The 9,641-nt window shown below is 41.0% G+C and overlaps 1 annotated feature.

The window, feature by feature from the left end:
- Positions 890-1,539: an enhancer, noted in NCBI's record as "H3K27ac-H3K4me1 hESC enhancer chr2:18198381-18199030 (GRCh37/hg19 assembly coordinates)". NCBI's record gives its function as "activates a minimal SCP1, AML or CMV promoter by ChIP-STARR-seq in naive and primed H9 embryonic stem cells {active_cell/tissue: H9 hESC(naive and primed)}" and the evidence as "EXISTENCE:reporter gene assay evidence [ECO:0000049][PMID:30033119]".

A 9,641-nucleotide genomic window follows, 5' to 3' on the forward strand; every position in this document is an offset into this window, starting at 1 on the left:
GTCTGTAAAGTATTTTATTTCTCCTTCACTTATGAAGCTTAGTTTGGCTGGATATGAAATTCTGGGTTGAAAATTCTCTTATTTAAGAATGTTGAATATTGGCCCCCACTCTCTTCTGGCTTGTAGGGTTTCTGCCGAGAGATCCGCTGTTTGATGGGCTTCCCTTTGAGGGTAACCCGACCTTTCTCTCTGGCTGCCCTTAACATTTTTTCCTTCATTTCAACTTTGGTGAATCTGACAATTATGTGTCTTGGAGTTGCTCTTCTTGAGGAGTATCTTTGTGGCGTTCTCTGTATTTCCTGAATCTGAACGTTGGGCTGCCTTGCTAGATTGGGGAAGTTCTCCTGGATAATATCCTGCAGAGTGTTTTCCAACTTGGTTCCATTCTCCCCATCACTTTCAGGTACACCAATGAGACGTAGATTTGGTCTTTTCACATAGTCCCATACTTCTTGGAGGCTTTGCTCATTTCTTTTTATTCTTTTTTCTCTAAACTTCCCTTCTCGCTTCATTTCATTCACTTCATCTTCCATTGCTGATACCCTTTCTTCCAGTTGATCGCATCGGCTCCTGAGGCTTCTGCATTCTTCACTTAGTTCTCGAGCCTTGGTTTTCAGCTCCATCAGCTCCTTTAAGCACTTCTCTATATTGGTTATTCTAGTTATACATTCTTCTAAATTTTTTCCAAAGTTTTCAACTTCTTTGCCTTTGATTTGAATGTCGTCCCTTAGCTCAGAGTAATTTGATCGTCTGAAGCCTTCTTCTCTCAGCTCGTCAAAGTCATTCTCCATCCAGCTTTGTTCCGTTGCTGGTGAGGAACTGCGTTCCTTTGGAGGAGGAGAGGCACTCTGCGTTTTAGAGTTTCCAGTTTTTCTGCTCTGTTTTTTCCCCATCTTTGTGGTTTTATCTACTTTTGGTCTTTGATGATGGTGATGTACAGATGGGTTTTTGGTGTGGATGTCCTTTCTGTTTGTTAGTTTTCCTTCTAACAGACAGGACCCTCAGCTGCAGGTCTGTTGGAATACCCTGCCGTGTGAGGTGTCAGTGTGCCCCTGCTGGGGGGTGCCTCCCAGTTAGGCTGCTCGGGGGTCAGGGGTCAGGGACCCACCTGAGGAGGCAGTCTGCCCGTTCTCAGATCTCCAGCTGTGTGCTGGGAGAACCACTGCTCTCTTCAAAGCTGTCAGACAGGGACATTTAAGTCTGCAGAGGTTACTGCTGTCTTTTTGTTGGCCTGTGCCCTGCCCCCAGAGGTGGAGCCTACAGAGGCAGGCAGGCCTCCTTGAGCTGTGGTGGGCTCCACCCAGTTCGAGCTTCCCTGCTGCTTTGTTTACCTAAGCAAGCCCGGGCAATGGCGGGCGCCCCTCCCCCAGCCTCGCTGCCACCTTGCAGTTTGATCTCAGACTGCTGTGCTAGCAATCTGCGAGACTCCGTGGGCGTAGGACCCTCTGAGCCAGGTGCAGGATATAATCTCGTGGTGCGCCGTTTTTTAAGCCGGTCAGAAAAGCGCAATATTCGGGAGGGAGTGACCTGATTTTCCAGGTGCGTCCGTCACCCCTTTCTTTGACTCGGAAAGGGAACTCCCTGACCCCTTGTGCTTCCCAAGTGAGGCAATGCCTCGCCCTGCTTCGGCTCGCGCACAGTGCGCGCACTCACTGACCTGCGCCCACTGTCTGGCACTCCCTAGTGAGATGAACCCGGTACCTCAGATGGAAATGCAGAAATCACCCGTCTTCTGCTTTGCTCACGCTGGGAGCTGTAGACCGGAGCTGTTCCTATTCGGCCATCTTGGCTCCTCCCCCAGCTCTCCCTTACTGCTACCCTTTTGCAAGTGGGGAAAGGCTCTCAAGGTAGTTATCCATAATGATTTCATCTAGAAAATGTTCGTTTATGCTTTTCTTTTGACAATGGCAAAGTTTTCATCAAGGATAGTTAAAATCAGAAGATCTGTTTTCTTTTTCTTATTTTTTAACAAAATGACATTATTTTTCTTATCTGTTTTTATTTTACGTTTGGGGATATATATGCAGGTTTGTTACATAGGTAAATTGCGTGTCACTGAGGCTTGGTGTACAAATGATCCCATTACCCAGGCAGTGAGCATAGCACCTGATAGGTAGCCTTCCAACCCACAAATCCGCCTCCCACCCTCCCTCCTCAAGCAGTCCCCAGTGTCTATTGTTCTTATCTTTGTGTCCATGTGTATTCGATATTTAGCTGTTACTTATAAGTGAGAATGTGCGGTATTTGGTTTTCTGTTCCTATATTAGTTCACTTAAAATGAGGGCCTCCAGCTGCATCCCTGTTGCTGCGAAGGGCATGATTTCATTCTTTTTATGGCTGCATAGTATTCCATGGTGTATATGTATACCAGTCCACCATTGATGAACATTTTTATTTATCTAGTCCACTGTTAATGAGCATAATAGTTGATTCTGTCTTTTCTATTGTGAATAGTGCTGTAAGAAACAAGTAAACGCATGTGACTTTTCAGTATAACAACTTATTTTCCTTTGAGTATATACCCAGTAGTGGGATTGCTGGGTCAAATGGCAGCTATGTTTTAAGTTCTTTAAGAAATGTCCACACTGCTTTCCACAGTGGCTGAATTAATTTACATTCCCACTAGCAGTGTAGAACTGTTAAATTTTCTCTGCAGGGTCACCAATATCTGTTGTTTTTTGACTTTTAAATAATAGCCATTCTGACTTTTATGAAATAGTATTGCATTGTGGTTTTGATTTCATTTTACTAATGATTTGTGATGATGAACTTTTTTTCATGTATTTGCTGGCTGCACATATATCTTCTTTTGAGAATAGTCTGTTCATATCTGTTGCCCAGTTCCTTAAATGGGTTTTTTTCTTGTTAATTTGTTTAAGTGACTTATAGATTCTCAGTATTAGATCTTTTTCAGATGCATAGCTTGTATTTTTGCTCATTCTGTAGATTGTCTGTTCACTCTACTGAAAGTTGCTTTTGCTGTGCAGAAGTTCTTTAGTTTAGTTAGGTCCCATGTGTCAATTTTTATTTTTGTTGCAGTTGCTTTTGAGGACTTAGTCATAAATTCTTTGCCAAGGCTGATGTCCAGAATGGTATTTCCTAGGTTTTCTTCTAGAGTTTTTAGTTTTAGGTTTTACATTTAAGTCTTTAATCCATCTTAAGTTAATTTTTGTATGTGGTGAAAGAAAGGAGTCCAGTTTCAATCTTCTGCATATGGCTAGTCAGTTATCCCAGCATAATTTATTGAACAGGGAGTCTTTCCCCATTATTTGTTATTGTTGACTTGTTGATGTTTTCTTTTGTTGTTGTGTCTCTGCCAGATTTCAGTATCAGAATGATGCTGGCTTCATGGAATGAGTTAGGAAGGAGTCCCTCCTCCTTGATTTTTTTTGGAATAAATTCAGTACGATTGGCACTAGCTCTTCTTTACATCTGGTGGAATTCAACTGTGAATCTGTCTGGTCCAGGGCTTTTTTTGATTGGTAGGCTTTTTATCACTGATTCAATTTTGAAACTCATTATTGATCTGCTCAGGATTTCAATTTTCTCAATCTTGGGAGGCTGTATGTTTCCAGGAATTTATTCATTTCTTCCAGATTTTCTAGTTTGTGTGCATAGAGGTGTTTGTAATAGTCTCTGAGAACTTTGTTTTTTGTTTCTTTTGTTTTTGTTTTTGTTTTGTATTTCTGTGGGATTGGTTGTAATGTTGCCATTGTCGTTTCTTATTGTGTTTATTAGGATCATCTCTCTTTTTAAATTTATTATTCTAGATAGCAGTCTAGATTAACAGCAGTCTATCAATCTTATTTAATCTTTTAAAGAGCCAACTTTTGGTTTTGTTGATCTTTTGTATGAATATTTGCATCTCAATTTCATTCAGTTCAGCTTTGATTTTGGTTGTCTCTTTTCTTCTACTAGCTTTGGGGTTGGTTTGCTCTTGTTTTTCTAGGTGTAACATTAGGTTGTTAATTTGAGATCTTTCTACCTTCTTGATGTACGTGTTTAGCAGTATAAACTTTACTCTTAACACTGCTTTAGCTGTATCCTAAAAATTCTTACATGTTTTACCTTTGTTTTCATTAGTTTAAAAGAAGTTTTTGATTTCTGCCTTAATTTTGTTCTTTACCCAAAAGTCATTCAGGAGCAGGTTGTTTAACTTCCATGTAATTTTATCATTTTGATAGATCTTCTTGATATTGATTTCTATTTTTATTGTGCTGTGGTCTGAGAGTGTGCTTGGTATGATTTTGACTTTTTAAAATCTGTTGAGACTTGCTTTATGGATGAGCATGCAGTCAGTCTTAGAGTATGTGCCATGTGCAGATAAGAAGAATGTATGTTTTGTTGTTGTTGAGTGTAGTGTTCTGTAGACCTCTATTAGGTCCAATTGGTATAGTGTTGAGGTTAAGTCCACAATACTTCGTTAGTTTTCTGCCTCAGTGATATGTCTAATGCTGTCAGTGGAGTGTTAAAGTCCCCTACCATTATTGTGTGGTTGTCTAAATCTCTTCATAGATCTGTAAGAACTGGTTTTATGAATCTGGGTGCTCCAATGTTGGGTGCATATTTCTTTAGGATAGCTAAGTCTTCTTGTTGAAGCTTAAATCATTATGTAATGCCCTTCTTTGTCTTTTTTGATCATTGTTTGTTTAAAGTCTATTTTATCTGATGTTAGAATAGCAACTGCTGCTCTTTTTTTGGTTTTGTTTTCTGTTTGCCTGATAGCTCTTTCTCCATTTCTTTATTTTGAGTCTATGTGTGTTATTACTTGTGAGACAGGTCTCTTGAAGACAGCAGACAGCTGGGTCTTGATTCTTTATCCAACTTTCTACTATATTCCTTTTAAGTGGGGTATTTAGCCCATTTACATTCAGGGTCAATATTCATATGTGGGGACTCAATCCTGTAATCATGCTGTTAGCTGGTTGTTATGTAAACTTGATTGTATAGTTTCTTTATAGTGTCAAAGGGCTATGTACTTAAGTGTGTTTTTGTGGTGGCAAGTATTGTTCTTTCATTTCCATGTTTAGCACTCACTTTAGGACCTTCTTAAGGCAGGCCCAGTGGTAAGAAATTCCCTTAGCATTTTCTTGTCTGAAAATAATTTCATTTCTTCTTCACTTATAAAACTTAGTTTGGCAGGATATGAAATTCTTGGTTGGAATTTATTTTCTTTAAGGCTGTTGAAAATAGGCCCACAATCTCTTCTGGCTTGTGGAATTTCAGCTGAAAGGTCCACAGTTAGCCTTATGGAGTTCCCTTTGTAAATGACCTGCCTCTTCTCACTAGCTGCCTTTAACATTTTTTCTTTCACATTGGCCTTGGAGAATCTGACACCTGTGTGTCTAGGGGATGGTTGTCTTGCATAGTAACTCCTAGGATTCTCTGAATTTCTTAAATTTGCATGTTGACATTGCTAGTGGGATTGGGAAAATTTTAGTGGATTGTATGCTCAGATACGTTTTCTAAGTTGCCTGATCTCTCTCCTCTTGTAGGAATGCCAATGAGTTGTAGGTTTGGTCTCTTTACATAATCCATTATTTCTCAGAGATTTTGCTAATTTTTTAAAATTCTTTTTTCTTTACTTTTATATGCCTATATTGCTTCAAAGGAACAGAACTCAAGCTCTGAGATACTTTCCTCAGCTTATTTTGTTGTTAATGATTCCAGTTGTATTTTGAAATTACATAGTGAACTTTTCATTTTCAGAAGTTCAGTTTAGTCTCATCTTAAAATGGAATGTCTTCTCTAGATAGTTTTACTATTTCCTTGAATTGGATTTTAACTTTCTCTTGTATTGCAATGAGCTTCCTTGACATCCAGATTCTGAATTCCATGTCTGACATTTCAGCCATTTAAATCTGGCTAAGAACTATAGATGGGGAGCTAGTGTGATCTTTAAAGATCACACTACTACCTTTAAAGTTAAGAAGACACTTTGACTTTTAGAGTTGCCAGAATTCTTGAGCTGGTTCTTTCTATCCATGAGGGCTGATGTTCTTTTATCCTTTTTAGTTGCTGTCCTTTGGATGGGGCTTTTTGTTTCTATGTTCTATATTGCCCTTGAAGGTTTCAATGTGGTGCAAATTGGGTATAGTTGAATGGCTTTGTTTCTGGATACTTTCATATGGCTAAGGCTCAGTACTCCACTTCTGGGCTATGTGCTCTAACCCTGGGTGGCTGGGACTGGGCCCATAGCTTTGTCCTCTTGTCTCTCAAAATTGAGCCTTGGTTGGGCTGGAGGAGCCAAGGTATACTTCTAGACCACTGAAAACAGTACTCTGTTGGTGGTGGTAGGGGCAGTGGGCGTGCTAAGGGTGGGAAGCACTCTAGTGGGGGTGCAATGGGGAAACACTTTCCCAAGGGGGCAATGGCAGTGTCTCAAGCAAATGTGCTCTGGCAGAAGGTGGTAGCAAAAGTGCTCTGGCAGGGTCAGCAGGGGCTCCACAGCAGGAAGTGCTGTGGTATGGGCAGCTTGGGTGCTGTGTGTAGGGAACACTCTGGTAGTGTATTAGTCCATTTTCATACTGCTATGAAGAAATACCAGAAACTGGGTAATGTTTGAAGAAAAAGAGGTTTAATGGACTCAGAGTTCCATATGACTGGTGAGGCCTCACAGTCATGGCAGAAGATGAAGGAGGGGCAAAATATGTCTTACATGGCAGCAGGCAAGAAACCATGTGCAGGAGAACTGCTTTTTATAAAACCATCAGATCTCATAAGACTTCTTCACTATCATGAGAACAGCATGGGAAAAACCCATCCCCATGATTCAATTCCCTCCCACCAGGTCCCTCCCATGACACATGGGGATTATGGGAGCTACAATTCAAGATGAGATTTGGGTGGGGACACAGCCAAGCCGTATTATTCCACCCCGGTCCCTCCCAAATCTCATATCCTCACACTTCAAAACCAATCCTGCCTTCCCAACAGTCCCCCAAAATCTTAACTCGTTTCAGCATTAACTGAAAAGTCCACAGTCCAAAGTCTTATCTGAGACAAGGCAAATCCCTTTCACCTATAAGCTTGTAAAATTAAAAGCAAGTTAGTTACTTCCAAGGTACAATGGGGTACAGGCATTGGGTAAATACACCCATTCCAAATGGGGAAAATTGGCAAAAATGAAGAAGCTACAGGCCCCATGCAAGTCCAAAATCCAGCAGGGCAGTCAAATCTTAAAGCTCTAAAATGATTGCCTTTGGCACCACATCTTGCGTCTAGGTCATGCTGATGCAAAAGATGGGCTCCCATGGCTTTGAGAAGCTCTGGCCCTGTGGCTTTGCAGGGTAGAGCCCCCTTCCTGGCAGCTCTCATGGGCTGAAATTGAGTGTCTGCAGCTTTTTCACGGGCATGGTGCAAGATGTCAGGAAATCTACCATTCTGGGGTCTGGAGCATGATGGCCCTCTTCTCACAGCTCCACAAAGGCAGTGCCCCAGTGAGGATTCTGCGTGGGGGTCCCAACCCTACATTTCCTTTCTCCATTTCCCCAGCAGAGGTTTGCTATGAGGGCCCCACCCCTGAAGCAAACTTCTGCCTGGACATCCAGGCATTTCCATATATACTCTGAAATCTATACGGAGGTTTCCAAACCTCAATTCTTGACCTTCTGTGCAAGTGGAAGCTACCAAGGCCTAGGGCTTTCACCCTTTGAAGCCATGGCCCAAGCTGTACCTTGGTCCCTTTTAGCCATGGCTGGAGTGGCTCAGAGGCAGGGCACCAAGTCCCTAGGCTGCACACAGCAGGGGACCCTGGATCTGGCCCAGGAAACAATTTTCCCTCCTTGGCCTCCAGGCCTGTGATGGGAGGGGCTGCTGTGAGATCTCTGACATGGCCTGGAGACATTTTTTCCATTGTTTTTGTGATTAACAATTGGCTCCTTGTTACTTATGCAAATTTCTGCAGCAGGCTTGAATTTCTCCCCCAGAAAACGGGTTTTTATTTTCTATTGCATCGTCAGGCTGCAAATTTTTCAAACCTTTATGCTCTCCTTTCTCTTGAATGCTTTGCCGCTTAGAAATTTCTTCTGCCAGATACCCTAAATCATCTCTCTCAAGTTAAAAGTTTCACAGATCTCTAGGGCAGGAGCAAAATGCCACCAGTCTCTTTGCTAAAGCATAACAAGAATCACCTTTGCTTCAGTTCCCAATGAGTCCCTCATCTTCTTCTGAGACCACCTCAGCCTGCATTTCATTGTCCATATCACTATCAGCATTTTAGTCAAAGCCATTCAATAAGTCTCTAGGAAGTTCCAAACTTCCCCACATTTTTCTGTGTTCTGAGCTCTCCAAGTCTCTAGGAAGTTCCAAACTTTTCCACATTTTGTTACCTTCTTCTGAGCCCTCCAAATGGTTCCCATCTTTGCTTGTTACCCAGTTCCAAAGCTGCTTCCACATTTTCAGGTATCTTAATAGCAGTACTCCACTCTACTGGTACCAATTTACTGTATTAGTCCATTTTCATGAGCTATGAAGAAACATCCAATACTGGGTAATTTATAAAGAAAAAGAGGCTTAATGGACTCAGTTCCACATGGCTGGGGAGGCCTCACAATCATGGTGGAAGGCAAAGGAGGAGCAAAGGCACATCTTACATGGCGGCAGGCAAGACAGTACATGCAGGGGACCTGCTGTGCTCCTCTGCAGCCATCCCCACACAGCCCACCTAGGCTTTATGCAGATTCAGGTTGTCTCTGACTACTCTCCAGGCAGTTCGCCCTGCCCACTAAGATGTCCATGTGGTTTTGGGGCTTCCTGCAGCTATAATCCCAGAGGTCAGTGGCAAGAGTGGGCAGCTCCACATTTATTTCACTACTCCCCTTTTTCTTAGCAGTCATTTAGGGCCTAGAGCATGTCCTAGCACTTGACAACTCTGTGCAGGTTTCCTAGCTTCCTCTTGGTTAAGCCCTAGCATCTGGGTTATCTCTTTAGCCATTCTCATTGCATTCTCTCAGATGATCTGTTTGGAGTATGGCAGTCTACTTGATATTCTGGCTTGTCCTGGTGGGAGGAGTTCTTGGCTACTTCTAGTTGACCATCTTGTCTCCCTCCCTATTTTCCTGATTATTTTAGTTTTACAGGTCTTAAAACCAAGAACTATAAATTCTCTGTGTTCTTTTTATTTCAGAGTTGTGTTACCTGTTTTGGTTTTTTTGTTTCATATAAATTATTTAATCAAATCATCAATTTCTCCAAAAAGGCCTGCAGAATTTTGATAGGGATTGCATTGAACATGTAGCCCAGTTTACAGAGACTGCATATCTTAACAATATTGAGTCTTTTAATTGATAAACATTATTCATTTATTTCAGTCTTCTTTTGTTTTTCTCAGCAATATATTGTAGTTTTCAGTAAAAAGTGCTTGTATATTTTTAGTTAGTTTTAGTTCAAGTTTTTGAAGTTTTTACAACCTGTTGTTAATTGTATTTTTTAGTTTTGATTTCCAGTTGTTTAGTGTTTAGGCTTTTTAACCTGTAACTTTTCTAAATTTACTTATTAATTTTGTTAATAGATATGTTATTTTATGTTTTTATTTTTGTGATTTAATAAAAATATATTGTCAAGGATTTTCCCTTTTATCTAAGTTACTGAATTTATTTGCATAAGATTATTTGTTTCTTTATTACTTTTTAAAAACTTTT

The sequence above is a fragment of the Homo sapiens genome, chromosome 2, assembly GCF_000001405.40.
Source record: "Homo sapiens chromosome 2, GRCh38.p14 Primary Assembly".
Classification (NCBI taxonomy): Eukaryota; Metazoa; Chordata; class Mammalia; order Primates; family Hominidae; genus Homo; species Homo sapiens.